We start from the raw sequence: 16,014 nt of genomic DNA on the forward strand, positions 1-16,014 counted from the left end.
TCTACATATGAGCAGACCTGCACAGTTCAAACCTGTGTTGTTGAGGAGTCAACTATATATTATAATTTAAGAGAGGATTCAACTCTTTCATTCTACTGGCAATGGGTTAACATAAACTTTAGTCAAAACTGCTGAGCTTTTCTGGCACAATGAGGACAAATTGACCAATGTATTTAACCAATAGCTGGGGGAAAATTTTGCTAAAATTGGTAAGTATATCTTTATATAACTATATCCTTACAACTTGTCTCAACCTTCGTCAGATTAATCCTAGCAAAACTGTAAAATGTCTCAGTAAAAATCTAAATGAATTTTTCATAACAAGTGCTGGCAATAGATTTTAAATATGTTCTGATCACTATTTGTCTCTTGTTGGCATGGAGAAAATCCTTTTTTTTTTTTTTTCAGCCTGGGGAATCCCAAACTATATCTCTAGTAACAAGGAAACCATTTTACTGGAATTTTTATTAACTAACATGGAAAAGTTTTGCCAATTAATCAGACTTCACTGTCCATATCACTTTCAACCTTTTGGGAAGGTAGAAAGATGGAATTCTGAAACTAAAGTTGGTAAAGTTCACAGAGATCGTCCAACTTGCATGGTCTAAGGTATTTCTTCTTTCTGCGGTTCATGAGTTAGTAACAGCTAAACCAAGTGTCTAGGAATATTAGCTCTGATTCTAGAAATCTACACTTATTTAACTAAATGCTGTAAGGACTCAGGAAATCCATTCTTTCAACAAAAGTTACTGAAGACTTTCCCCATTAGTATCCTAAACAATGTCTGCAAAATTGGTTTTCATACCTGGATACCTTGTCTTGTAAGAGACACGGCAGAGAAAGATCATAGGAAAAAAGTCAATATCAGGCACAGCTAACAACTAGCAAACCCACAGTCTTTAAAAGACTGATCCTTTGATTCCTATCTCTCAAGTAAAGAGGTTTAGGTCATCTTCATGTTACAGGAAAGTATCCCTACCAAAAACTTCTAACTAATGACTCTTAGGATTCTTCCAAAAGCAAATAGTCTTTGGGAGAAGACAGCTTCCATCAAATGCCTTTGGATCAAGTGAATCACTATATGAGATATCGGTATCTGCAAACCAAGATCCACATAAAAAGATCCATTGTTTGTCATATTTAATCTGTATATCTTGAGTTTTCATTTTCCTAGTTAACTTTTTTTTATCTTTTTATGCTTAAGGTTACATTTAATTACTTTACCTATAAAGCTACTATTCCTAATTCCTCTATGCCGTCCTTAGTCACTCTCTAGAAGAGTCCGGAAGCTGGCCGTAATTTGTTCACAATTTGGCTAAACATGCAGTTGAATCAGTGCTAAGCTGCACACATTTTCCTTAGGATGCCAATTAGAGTTTTTTTTTCTTAACATCGATTCCTAAATATGAAACATCTGGGTTTATCAATAATTGGACTCACTATTTATTGTTATTTTATCTGACAAACAGCAGAGTATTAGATAAATAGAAATCTTAAATCCTAACATGCTGCACCCAGGAAACAAAGCTTATGCCTACAGCAGAACAGCACTTAGGGATCTTTAATAGAATGCAACTTCTGTCACTAAACCTTTAGAAAGAAATGTCTTAAAAAGAAGAGAACAAATGGCACATACTTAATTCATTTCTCACATTTACATATCATAAAAAATTCTTATTACATATTCAAGCTCCTATCACATCTACCTCTTCCTCTATGTGATAAGGTCTTCATTTTATATCCCCAAAAGTGATTAACAGCAGAATGGAGCTGAAAGCAATCAATAAACTCAATCAACCTTAATGACTGCTACTGGATTTGTGGTACCAGAACCTATTGATTATTACAGCAATCTTGACATAAACTAACATATTGATGTGGTAGTCGGAATAATGGCTCTTCAGAGATGATGGGGTCCTAATCCAGATAATTTATAAATTTGTTAGCTTACCTGGCAGGACAGAGTTTGCAAATGCAATTAGAGTTAAGGATTTTGAAATGGAGAGACTATCATAGATTTTTAGATGGCCAAATGCAATCATAAGATTCTTTACATGTAGAAGAGGGAGATATAAAAGGAGAATGTGAAGACTTGCTCCTTCATTTGTAGCTTTGAAGGTGAAGGAAAGGAACTGTTATGAACCGAATATTCGTGTCTCCCTAAAATTAATCTATTGAAGATGATTGGCATTGTTCAAATATTAATAGATTATTTTCAATAATCTATTAATTGGCAGTGTGATAGTATCTGGAGATGGAGCTTTTGGGAGGAACCTAGGTTGAGATAATGTCATAAGTGTGGTGTTCTCATGATAATGTTAGTGTTCTTATAAGAAAAGGTGGAGATACGAGACCACCTCCCACCCAACCACCCTTCTCTTTCTCTCTCCATAAACATGTATCCAGGAAAGGCCATGTGAACAGAGAGAGAAGGAGGCCATCTACTAACCAGAGAGGGAGTGGGCCCTCCCCATGAACCAAATATACCAGCACCTTAATCTTGGACTTCCCAACTTTCAGAACTCTGAGAAATAAATGTCTGTTGTTTAAGTCACCCGGTCTACGGTATTTTCTTACAGTATTCCAAGCTGCCCAAGACAGGGAACATGCATCAGAGAATGCAGCTGGATTCTAAAGCCTGGGAAAGGCCGGGTCATGGATTATTCCACAGAGCCTATAGAAGGAATGCAGTCTTCCAGTGCTTTGATTTTAAATCAGTAAGACCTGTGCTGAACTTCTAACCTGGAATACTGCTAGACAATAAATTTATGTTGTTTTAAACTACTAAGTGTATTGTAATTTTTATAACAGCCACAGGAAAATAATACATTTGGCAAATCAGTGCATGTTTCATGATGGTCAATGATATGCCCCAGGGTCCATCTTAGCCATGATTTCTATCCCTTCAGAAACCAAAACAAAATAAAAAAGTAAAACAAAAAGACCAATTTTACTATATAACTTGATTTTTTAAAATATTTTATATTTACTTAATCCAGTATATCCAAAATATTGTCATCTCAGCATAAAACAATGTTAAAATTATTCCGTTTTACATTTTTTAAACTAAATCTAGTTTGTATCTTACATATAGCATAAATCAATTCAAATTCACCATATTTCAAGTGTTCAATATCTACATGTCACTAGTAATGACTGTAGTGGACAGAATTGATCCAGATTTCCAAGTGTATTGGTATAAAACTAACCATATTTTTATCTTATTAAAACAAAACAAAACAAAACTCCTCCATAACTATGTCTATGTTCCTTCTGCTTTTATTAACATTGAACATATTCTTGTTTTTAATCTAATTTTGTCTGTATTTAGGTCTATTTTTTGGTGGTGTTATCTCTTGTATGCTTGGCATCAACTTTTTTTTCAATTTCTTAGACTATCTAAACTATTATGCTCTAAGTTTAGCTCAATTTCAATCAGCTACTCACTTGAAAGACTCATTTAACTCTCTTAAGCCATTCTCCACAAACATGAAAAATCTTCCTCTCACTGTTCCCTGCTGAAACACTGCAAAAGTATGTCAAAATGGTGTACTTTCTTGGCACAGGGTTTCGATAAACTTAGTTTTGCTTTAATAACAAATTATCTGAATATATTTCAGGGAGGTCCACTGGCAAAAGCATAAAATAATGTTAGTTCAGGTCATCTTTTGTAAAGTTATGATTGTGCCATAGTATCAATTCTTGTCAAAATTTATGACTTCAAAATCAACTTAATATGCATCAACATAGATATTTTTTAGTAATTCTAGACTCCAGGTGCTCATTTAAATAATATGGGTACATAAGACTGAACAAAACCAGTTGCTATTGAATGTACATTTTAGAGAAATACTTCATACACAGCTGTGTTTTGTTAAATAAGGAACTTCACGACACAATCAATATCATGGCAGCATACAACTGTTTGGTTAGTATGTCTCTTTAAACAAGCACATATGCTCATTCATGGAGTGTGTATTTGTATCTGTGTATGGTCTGTGTGGTGAAGCAGCAAGCAATAATTGGATGTCTTAATTATCTAACAGGAAAAAACACCTAAATAATCAAAAGAAATTGTGATTTATTTATTAGTTCGACTGAGCTTTTCTCTTGAATGTAACACAGATGGTCCCAGATTTACAATGGTACAACTTTACAGCTTTATCATGGTACAAAAGTGGTAAACATTCAGTAGAAACAATACTTTTATTACCCATATACCCATTCCGTTTTTCACATTCAGTATTTAATAATGTACATGTGATATTCAACACTTTATTTAAAAATAGGCTTTATGTTAGATATTTTTTTTTGGACTGGCTAATGTAAGTGTTCTGAGCACATTTCTTAAGTGTATTTTTGTTTAACACTTTAAGTTCTAGGGCACATGTGCACAACTTGCAGGTTTGTTACATATGTATACATGTGCCATGTTGGTTTGCTGCACCCATTAACTCATTATCTACATTAGGTATTTCTCCTAATGCTATCCCTACCCCATCCCCCCACCCCACAATAGGCCCCAGCATGTGATGTTACCCACTCTGTGTCCAAGTGTTCTCATTGTTCAGTTCCCACCTATGAGTGAGAACACACGGTGTTTGGGTCTCTGTCCTTGCGAAGGTTTGCTCAGAATGATGGTTTCCAGCTTCATCCATGTCACTACAAAGGACATGAACTCATCATTTTTTATGCCAGCATAGTATTCCATGGTGTACATATGCCACATTTTCTTAATCCAGTCTATCATTGATGGACATTTGGGTTGAATAGTGCCGCAATAAACATACCTGTGCATGTGTCTTTATAGCAGCATGATTTATAATGCTTTGGGTATATACCCAGTAATGGGATCACTGGGTCAAATGGTATTTCTAGTTCTAGATACTTGAGGAATTGCCACACTGACTCCCACAATGGTTGAACTAGTTTACACTCCCACAAACAGTGTAAAAGCATTCCTATTTCTCCACATCCTCTCCAGCACCTGTTGTTTCCCGACTGTTTAATGATCACCATTCTAACTGGTGTGAGATGCTATCTCATTGTGGTTTTGATTTGCATTTCTCTGATGACCAGTGATGATGAGCATTTGTTCATGTGTCTGTTGGCTGCATAAATGTCTTCTTTTGAAAAGTGTCTGTTCATATCCTTTGTCCACTTTTTGATGGGTTTGTTTGATTTTTTCTTGTAAATTTGTTTAAGTTCTTTGTAGACTCTGGATATTAGCTCTTTGTCAAATGGGTAGATTGCAAAAATTTTCTCCCATTCTGTAGGTTGCCTGTTCGCTCTGATGGTAGTTTCTTTTGCTGTGCAGAAGCTCTTTAGTTTAATTAGACCCCATTTGTCTATTTTGGCTTTTGTTGCCATTGCTTTTGATGTTTTAGTCATGAAGTCCTTGCCCATGCCTATGTCCTGGATGGTATTGCCTAGGTTTTCTTCTAGGGTTTTTATGGTTTTAGGTCTAACATTTAAGTCTTTAATCCATCTTGAATTAATTTTTCTATAAGGTGAAGGAAGGGATCCAGTTTCAGCTTTCTACATATGGCTAGCCAGTACCATTTATTAAACAGGGAATCCTTTTCCCATTTCTTGTTTTTGTCAGGTTTGTCAAACATCAGATGGTTGTAGATGTTTAGTGTTATTTCTGAGGCCTCTGTTCCATTCCATTGGTCTATATCTCTGTTTTGGTACCAGTAAAATGCTGTTTTTGTTACTGTAGCCTTGTAGTATAGTTTGAAGTCAGGTTGCATGATGCCTCCAGCTTTGTTCTTTTTGCTTAGGATTGTCTTGGCAATATGGGCTCTTTTTTTGATTCCATATGAACTTTAAAGTAGTTTTTTCCAATTCTGTGAAGAAAGTCATTGGTAGCTTGATGGGGATGGCACTGAATCTATAAATTACCTTGGGCAGTATGGCCATTTTCACGATATTGATTCTTCCTACCCATGAGCATGGAATGTTCTTCCATTTGTTTGTGCCCTCTTTTATTTCGTTGAGCAGTGGTTCGTAGTTTTCCTTAAAGAGGTCCTTCACATCCCTTGTAAGTTGGATTCCTAGGTATTTTATTCTCTTTGTAGCAATTGTGAATGGGAGTTCACTCATGATTTGGCTCTCTGATTGTCTGTTATTGGTGTATACAAATGCGTGTGATTTTTGCACATTGATTTTGTAACCTGAGACTTTGCTGAAGTTGCTCATCAGCTTAAGGAGATTTTGGGCTGAGATGATGGGGTTTTCTAAATATACAATCACATCATCTACAAACAGGGACAATTTGACTTCCTCTTTTCCTACTAGAATACCCTTTATTTCTTTCTCTTGCCTGACTGCCCTGGCCAGAACTTCCAACACTATGTTGAATAGGAGTGGTGAGAGAGGGCATCGCTGTCTTGTGCTAGTTTTCAAAGGGAAAGCTTCCAGTTTTTGCCCATTCAGTATGATACTGGCTGTGGGTTTGTCATATATAGCTCTTATTATTTTGAGATATGTTCCATCAATACCTAGTTTATTGAGAGTTTTTAGCATGAAGGGCTATTGAATTTTGTCAAAGACCTTTTCTGCATCTATTGAGATAATCATGTGGTTTTTGTCTTTGGTTCTCTTTATGTGATGGATTACATTTATTGACTTGCGTATGTCGAACCAGTCTTGCATCCCATGGATGAAGCCAACTTGATCTTGGTGGATAAGCTTTTTGATGTGCTGCTGGACTCGGTTTGCCACTATTTTTGTTAAATGTACTAAATGCATTTTTTACCTAAAATATTTTCAACTTATGAGTATATCCAGATCCATCATAACACATCTTGGCCTGTGGTTATCAGGATGTAACTCATTATAAGTCGAGGTAGATTTGTATTATATCCCATGTACACACACACACACACACGCACGTGCACACACACACACACACACACACACACACACACACACAGACTTAATCTGTTTACAGAAATAAAAGGAATAAAATACCATTTCTATTATACACCAAAACTAGCCATCTTGACAGATACTTCACTCTGAAAAATAACATTTTATAGCTACTTTACAGATTAGTATAAGAATTTGGTGTTTCTGTTTCAGAGATTCGATTTCACATTTCAATAAGTAGGCCGCTCCCTCTGCTAAGCCTGGGAATGTAATTCTTTTGAAAAATTATCTGTGCTGTAAAATTACATGTCATATTGGGAAAAGGACAATCGCAAACAGTAGTCACACATAAAATCAAGCAACACAGACATCCTTTTCACATACAGTGAAGACCCTTGTCAATTTTGAGATTACACAGGAAAACAGAATGGGGGACAAGTGTCTCTGACACACAGAAAATCCCTTGAAGAACTCAGCTGACACAATCAAAACATACACAAAACTGAAAGAAACAAGGTGAGTGCTTTTTATATTAGTTCAGCTGTCAAGAAAGTGTAAAATAAACCTAACATTTTTTTACTAAGTGAGGATTTTCTTTTTTGAAACATCATTATTTATATTTATCCAGTTTGCAACTTCATCAGCTGAATCTCAGGATGTGTTCCATGACACTGAAGGACAATTAAATCATATCCATGACAATATATGAGAAGCTGACAGGAGAACATGGTGGCATTTGAATTAATGTCTATCATTAGATAGAATTTCTGATCACATAATTTAAGTTGTAGTTTTCCATACAATTTAATCAAGATAAGCACTTACTAGGTTAGTGATATAGTTTGGCTCTGTGTCCCCACACAAATCTCATGTTGAATCGTAATCCCCACGTGTCAGGGGAGGGGTCTGGTAGGAGGTGATTTGATCATGGGGGTGGATTTCCCATACTGTTCTCGTGACAGTCAGTGAGTTCTCACAAGATCTGATGGTTTAAAAGTGTGTGGAACTTCCCCCTGGCTCTTCTCTCTACTGACACCATGTGAAGAAGGCGCCTGCTCCCCCTTTACCTTCTGCCATGATTGTTAGTTTCCTGAGGCCTCCCAGTCATGCTTCCTGTTAAGCTTGCAGAACTGTGAGTCAATTAAACCTCTTTGCCTCATAAATTACCCAGTAGTTCTTTATAGCAGTTTGAGAAGAGATAAATACAGAAAATTGGTACCACAGAAGTGGGGCATTGCTATAAAAATACCTGAAAATATGGAAGTAACTTTGGAACTGGGTAACAGGCAGAGGTAGGAAACAGTTTGGAGGACTCAGAAGAAGACAGGGAGATGTGGGAAAGTTTAAATCTTCCTAGAGACCTGTTGAATGGTTGTGAACAAAATGCCGATAATGATTTGGATAACGAAGTCCAGGCTGAGGGGGTCTCAGATGGAGATGAGGAACTCACTGAGAACTGAAGAAAAAGTTACTCTTGCTATGCTTTAGCAAGGAGACTGATAGCATTTTGACCCGGCCCTAGAGATCTGTGTAATGTTGAACTTGAGAGAGATGATTTAGGGTATCTGGTGAAATAAATTTCTAAGCAACAGACCTTCTAACATGTGGCCTGGCTGCTTCTAAAAGTTTATGCTCATGTCCATGAAGAAAGAGATGGCTTGAAACTAAAACGTATATTTAAAAGGAAAGCAGAGCATACAAGTTTGGAAAATTTGCAGCCTAACCATATAGTAAAAAAGAAAAACCCATGCTCTTGGGAGAAATTCAAGCAAAAATTTGCATAAGTAAAGAGGAGCCAAATGTTAATAGCAAAGACAATGTGGAATATGTCTCCAGTACATTTCAGAGACCTTTGAGGCAGCCCCTCCCATTATAAGCCTGGAGGCCTAGGAGGGAGAAATTGTTCAGTGGGCTGGGCCCAGGGCCCTGCTGCTCTGGGCAGCCTCGGGACATGGTGCCCAGTGTTCCAGCTGCTCAGCTCCAACTGTGGCTAAAAGGGACCAAGGCACTACTCAGGCCATTGCTTCAGAGAATACAAGCCTCAAGCTTTGGTGGCTTCCACATGAGGCTGGGCCTGTGGTTGTGCAGAAGGGAAGAGTTGAGGTTTGGGAACCTCCATCTAGATTTCAGAGGATGTATGGAAATGCCTGGATGTCTAGGCAAAAGTCTGCTGCAGAAGTGGAGCCCTTATGGAGAACCTCTACTAGGGCAGTGCAGAGGGAAAATGTGGGGTTGGAGCCCCCACACAGATTCCCCACTGGGGCACTCCCTACTGGAGCTTTGAGAAGAGGGTCATAGTGCTTCAGACCCCAGAATGGTAGATCCACTGACAGTTTGCACAGTGTGCCTGGAAAAGTCACAGGCACTCAATCCTAGCCTGTGAAAGCAGCTGTGGGGGCTGTGCCTTGCAGAGCCACAGAGGCAGAGCTGTCAAAGCTCATGGGAGCCCAGATATTGCATCAGTATGCTCTGGACGTGAGAGATGAGGTCAAAGAAGATTGTTTCAGAGCCTTAAGATTTAATGACTGCCTTGTCGGGTTTTGGACTTGCATGGGGCCTGCAGACCCTTTGTTTTGGCTAATTTCTCCCTTATGGAATTGGAGTGTTTACCTGACCCCTGTACCCCCACTGTATCTTGAAATTAACTAACTTGTTTTTGATTTTACAGGCTTATAGGCAGAAGGGATTTGCCTTGTCTCAGATGAAACTTTGGACATGCACTTTTGAGTTAATGCTGGAATAAGTTAAGACTTTCAGTCTGTTGGGAAGGCATGATTGGTTTTGAAATGTGAGAAGAAGGACATGACACTTGGGAGGGGCCAGAGGAGAAATCATATGGCTTGGCCCTCTGTCCCCACCCAAATCTCATCTCAAATTGTAATCCCCTCATGTCAAGAGAGGGGCCTGGGTGGAGGTGACTGGATCATGGGAGCAGATTTCCGCATGCTATTCTCATGATAGTGAGTGAGTTCCAAGAGATCTGATGGTTTAAAAGTGTGTGGCACTTCCCTCCTTGTGCTCTCTCTCTCCTGGTGCCATGTCAAGAAGAACCTCGTTTCCCCTTTGCCTTCCACCATGATTTTCTGAGTTTCCTGAGTCCTCCCATTCATGCTTCCTGTAAAGCCTGAAGAACTATGAATCAATTAAATCTCTCTTCTTCATAAATTACTCAGTCTCAAGTCATTCTTTATATCACTGTGAAAATTGACTACTACGGTTAGCAATCTTAAAGAACACTTGTGATTTTGAGAATCAGGCACATATTTTTTTAATAATCGGACTGCTTATAATTGTTTAACTCCTTGCAACTTATAGTTAATGCCTAAAACTTTGATGACTTTCATTACATTTCAATGGCCCTGTTCCCTTATAGCAAACTACCTTTTTTACTGTACTTACTGTAACTACAGTGCATTTATTTTCAGCCCAAATAGTATTCAGTAATAAGCATTTCTTCCCACATAAGAATAAGTTATATTCCTATTCACTATATTCTAGAATTTCTATTTTCCTTCCACAGTGCCAGCTAAAATTAAAGTGGAATAATCTATCGGGGCCCTGTGTATTTAATGTTTGTTTTCTTAGTATATTATAAACACTGTGAAGGAAGGAAATCCTTGCCTCTTGTTTATACTTTTATCTCCATTATAGAAACACTCTGCATTATTTTCTTACTGCTGCTGTAGCAAATTACTACAAAGTTAGTGGTTTAAAATAGCACAAATATAGTGTCAAACAATTGTGTTTGTCAGATGTCTGACATGCATCTTATGAGGCTAAAATCAAAGAGTGAGAACTGTTGTGTTCCTTTCTGAAGGTTTTAGGGGAAAATCAGTTTCCTTGACTTTTCCAGCCTCTAGAGGCTGTCCTGATTTGTTAGCTTGTGGTCTTTCATTTGTTCAAACCAGAAATGCTGTATCTCTCTGACCATTCTTTTGAAATCATATCACCTTATGTTTCTAGCCAAGAATGTTTCCCTATTTTAAACCCATTTGATTACACTGAACTCAAAAGGACAGTTTTTCATCTTACCATCCTTAACATTATAATACTTGCAAAGCCCCTTTTACCAGATAAAGTTAACATATTCACAGGTTCCAGAAATCAGGACATGTGGTTTTTTGTTGTTGTTCTTGGTTTGTTTGTTTTGTAAACCATTATTTTGCTTACTATACTGTCTTAACTGGAGGAAGCAACTTCTTCGAATAGGTGAATTAATTTCAAATTGATAATGTGGTGATTCTCAATGAACATTAAAGAAATCAACTATTACACCAAACATTACTTTATTGAGCTAAACAAATATTAACTGACTATATAAAATTCATTACACATTTGGAGATAGAATTTTGTACTTTTTAATAAGACTTTTTACATTTTTTGCAATCCTTTTTCTTATTTAAAAAATCAGTACTGTATTAGTACCCACAATATAAGTTTGTTCTAAGAATCAAATGAGATAAACATTTCAAACACCTATCATAGTACCAAGTTCATATCGTAAGCCTAAAATATCAGATGACTTTTATTATTTTCAGAATGTAGTCAAAATCAACATAAAATTACATTAACACTTGGTTTACTGTATTATAATGCTAGCTTTGTGTCATATCTATCTAGAGAGTACACTGAATGGCTTAAACCAAGTAGAAGGTGATTTCTTGCTTACATATCAGTTTACCATAAGTAATTTTGGCTAAAGAAGCATCTTTCCTGCAAAACATAATTCAAGTTAATGAAGGATCTACTATTATCAAATTGTATCTTCCCAGATTACTTTGTATATATCACCATTCCAGAAGACAAAAGACTACTCATGAAATACAATTTGCACACTTCTTTATATGTGAAAAATTCACTTCTCTTCACTCTGTAAACAACTTAAAGTTTTGCCCAGTTACTGCCTACAACTTAGAGTTCAGGATGTTTCATGACGTGCAGTTCTCTCCCTTAGGCCACTATATGACTTAACGAGGACTAGTGTCCTATCAAGTCAAAAGACAAATTATCTGTAAAATCTAAGTTACCATGGTGAAGCTCCTATCAGAAGACAAAGAAGTCTGCATAGCACTGACAAAAATATTTCTGAGCAGTACAAATATTTATTTCATGAAACCATAAACATGTCCTGTGGAAATAACTTTAAGGTCCATTGTCCCTGTGGCTCACAGATTTACTTTCTGAGGTAATTTACATTTTCTCTTATTCTCCATGCCTCCATCTTAAATTAGAACAATGAGTGTTTTCTCAGCATGACTAATCAATTGCACTGATTAGTGCAATTTGGGATGCTTGAGGATATTTTAAGCCTTAATTTTTTTTCTCACAATAGGCTTATTATACCTTTACCAAGTAGTTACGTGGAAAACATTTATTTATTTATTGGATCTAGTTGATAACCAAACATACAGTTCTTTCCTAGGTATAATTCTAAAGTCTGCCTCATTTCCTTGTTTTTTCTCCTCCCCAACACACATATGCTTCTCTGACTGTAAAGATGACCACTTTAAGGTCATTTGAGATCATGGACGTGAAAGAGAAAACAACTTCCCTGATTAGTTCTTTGCTTCAGGGCTGGGTTCCTTGTTTTTTATGAACACAGTAGGATTTAATTTCTGAGCAGCTTTTTCAACCTAATCAGAAAAACCTGAGCTTTTCTGTCACTGTATAATTCCACCATTACTAGACCTTTTGTTTACAAGTGGTTTCCAACAAGGAATGATTTTGTTTCCATAGAACACTTGTCACTGTCTGGAGACATTTTGAATTATAATGAATAGGTGGTGATGCTACTGGTATGTGGTGGTATAGCCTAGAGATACTATTAATATCCTACAATGCAAAGAATAACCTCCCACAGAATGCAGGAATATCAGGCATAAAATGTCAATAATGCTAAGGTTTAGCAACTCAACTCTATCCACTTTCTTCCCACTCTAAAGACAGGATATTTCCTTTTTTTTTTTTTTTTTTTTGCCTGTGTTTATCTATTTCTTGGATTATGGAACAGAACAAACATGAACACATTACCTTTTGCCTTTCCTCATTTCCCACACTCTTTCCTAGAGGTAATATTAAGCTTCCAATTAATTTTAGATGGTAGTTTCAATAATTTTTTTTCACTGGGTATTACAAGTCTTCATTTCAACCCTCTGAGTTTGGTTTACTTGTCCATTTAATACTAATTTAGTGGATATGTTTTAGGTGCTGTTATAGCAGACCCAACTCAAGCTGGTGATTTCTACATTACTTGGAATAGTACTAGTTGCTTTGACAACTACACTCAACAACATATAATATCTTAAACAGAACAGAAGTTTCATTCATATAAACTGTTTTTTTAAGATAGGAAAAGCATTGCTCCTTTATGTCCGCATTCAAGAACATAGGCTACTAAGCTATTTAATCTGCAGTATGTTGCTTCCAAGACTACTGTAGAATTGGCCATTCCAGTCAAGCATACTGAAAAACGTATACAGAAGAGTGCATGTTGGGATTTTGGAGACTAAATTGGATATAAAATATGTTATTTCTACTAATTTTCCACTATTTTGACTTTAATCCCATGCCCTAATATAAAGTATATAAGAATGAGAAATATAGTTTATGTATCTATCAAAATAGAACATAAATGTTTGTGAACATTTGAATCTGTCAGCTTCTCTTGCTCACGTGCCTGTAGTGCCTGTACTCGGGATGCTGAGGCAGGAGAATCGCTTGAACCCAGGAGGTGGAGGTTGCAGTGAGCTGAGGTCACACCACTGCACTCCAGCCTGGGCAACAGAGCGAGACTCCATCTCAAAAAAAAAAAAAAGAAGAAGAAAAAGAAGTGACTCAACTGATTGATGTGTAAAACCTCATTGTAAAATAATGTTCTATAAATGAGACATTCATGCAGTTAAATTTTTGGATTAAAAAAGTCTGCCACTTTGTGAATATGTTTTATTTAGGCTTGATTTAGTTAATTTTCTTTTTTCTTTTTCTTTTTTCTTTTTTTTTTTTTTTTGAGGAGTTTCACTGTTGCTGCCCAGGTTGTAGTGCAGTGGTGGGATCTCGGTTCACTGCATCCTCCACCCCGCCAGGTTCAAGTGATTCTCCTGCCTTAGCCTCCTGAGTAGCTGGGATTACAGGCACCCACCACCATACCCGGCCAATTTTTTGTGTTTTTAGTACACACGGGGTTTCACCATGTTGGCCAGGATGGTCTCGAACTTCAGACCTCAGGTGATGCGCCCACCTTGGCCTCCCAAAGTGCTGGGATTACAGGCATGAGCCACCGCACCCAGCCAGCTAATTTTTCTATTAACTAAGACCTAATTAAGATTGAGGCAGAAGAAATGGGTCCTTGGGATTTGAAAATTAGTATTCAATTTGGAAGTTTAATTTGCAACATAGATTGTTTGTTATTAAATTACTAGATATAATATCACAAAGGCGGAAAGAAAGGTTGCTTAGTTAAAGATCTAAGTTACTAGTCATGGTGTCAGATATAGAGAATGATTGAAGGTTATTAGAGTCACACACCAGATGAGTAAATTGTTGTTTTCAAGGAAGAGGTTACATAAAGGTAAGCGGAGTAATATTTTAGCATTTTTGTTAATTAAAAATTTGTGAAGTTATTTACATTTCAAGGAAATTACTCTCAGTAATTTTACGGGTAAAATGACAAATTCCAAGTTTAATTTTCACATGTAACACCCTCCTTGAGCACTTATTTTTATGAAGCTATTAGTCTATTTTGGTCTCAATTTACCTTTCTTTAAAGAGATTTTAAAATTTTCTGAAAGAAGTTGAGATCTGGAAGTGTAGCTGTTCTATTTTTCAATTTTTAATTACATATTTAATTATCCTTTAATTACTTAAGGTTATTCTCAAAAGCGAAGAGATAGCTGGGATCACACTGCGTAAGATTTTACTCCTGAATGTAATATTCAAAAATGTTACAAAGTCTATCAAAGAGGTTTTCATTCTGTGACAATAGATGGTCAATTTGACATGGTCAGGAAGCACCACCCCCACTGAGAGACACCAAATTATGGAGTAAACCACCGTAATTTAGGCAGATCTTGAGAGAGAAAATGCTGAGTGGATGGAGAGGCAGCAATGAAGCTGAGTTGAAGAGGGAGGAAGCCTGTGCAGGGAACCCAAACACTACAGCTAGTTCCCCAGAATGGCTCCTAGGAAAGGGCCTCTGCCTGAGAGAGACCTGTGGCCTAGAACACCTAACACAAGAAACACAGTGATTGCAGGAGACTCCCCCAGGGCCCAGGAGCAGATCTGGTGATGGAGGCATCTCTCCCACCCCCACTATAGAGCACACCTGCAAACAAAAGGAAGTATAAAACAGCCATGCCACTGGGTATTAGGCTAGCCACTGGCCATCGCTCTTAAGCACCATGCATTGGATCACATCCCAAACTACAACATCAAAATTTATCCTGCTACATATACACCTGTGAAACCAAACACAAGAATTACTCATACATAAAAATCCTGGACAGAGAAAGCCCTGGCCCTTTCAAAGCATCCAGAAACAAAACCAATTGCCTATACTCAACATACACTACAGTTAAAGGAACACTAACCCTACCAGAAGAGAAAAAATCAGTGCAAGAACTCTGGCAATTCAAAAAGCTAGAGTGTCCTCTTACCTCAAAATTAGCCCACTAGCTACCAAGCAATGGTTCTTAATCAGTCTAAAATAATTGCAACAGACATAGAATACAGAACCTCGATGGCAGGGAAGCTCATGAACATTAAGCAGAAAGTTGAAACCCAATCCAAGTAATCCGGTAAAGCAATCTAAGTAAGTGCTGAAAGATGAAATTGCCATTTTAAAAAATAGCCACACTGAATTTCTAGAGCAGAAAAAATTCAGTATAAGAATTTTATAATACAATAAGAAATATTAACAGAAGGTAGGCCAAGCTAAGGAAAGAATCTCAGAGCTCAAAGACTGGTTCGTTGAATCAACTGAGTCAAAAGAAAATTTTAAAAAAGAATTAAAAAAAGAAAATGAACCAAAGCTTTAAGAATTATGGAATTATATAAAGAGACCAAATCTACGACTCATTGTCATTCCTAGAAGAGAAAGAAAGAGAAAAGGCAACTTGGAAAGTCGATTTGAGAATAGAGTCTATG

At 36.9% G+C, this 16,014-nt stretch overlaps 1 pseudogene across 1 annotated transcript in view; it reads right to left on the minus strand.

The window, feature by feature from the left end:
* The window catches only part of GUSBP2 (GUSB pseudogene 2), an 85,068-nt pseudogene that overhangs the window by 62,943 nt on the left and 6,111 nt on the right, over positions 1-16,014 (minus strand). The gene's annotated exons all lie outside the window — the stretch shown is intronic.

This window comes from Homo sapiens, chromosome 6 (assembly GCF_000001405.40).
Source record: "Homo sapiens chromosome 6, GRCh38.p14 Primary Assembly".
NCBI lineage: Eukaryota > Metazoa > Chordata > Mammalia > Primates > Hominidae > Homo > Homo sapiens.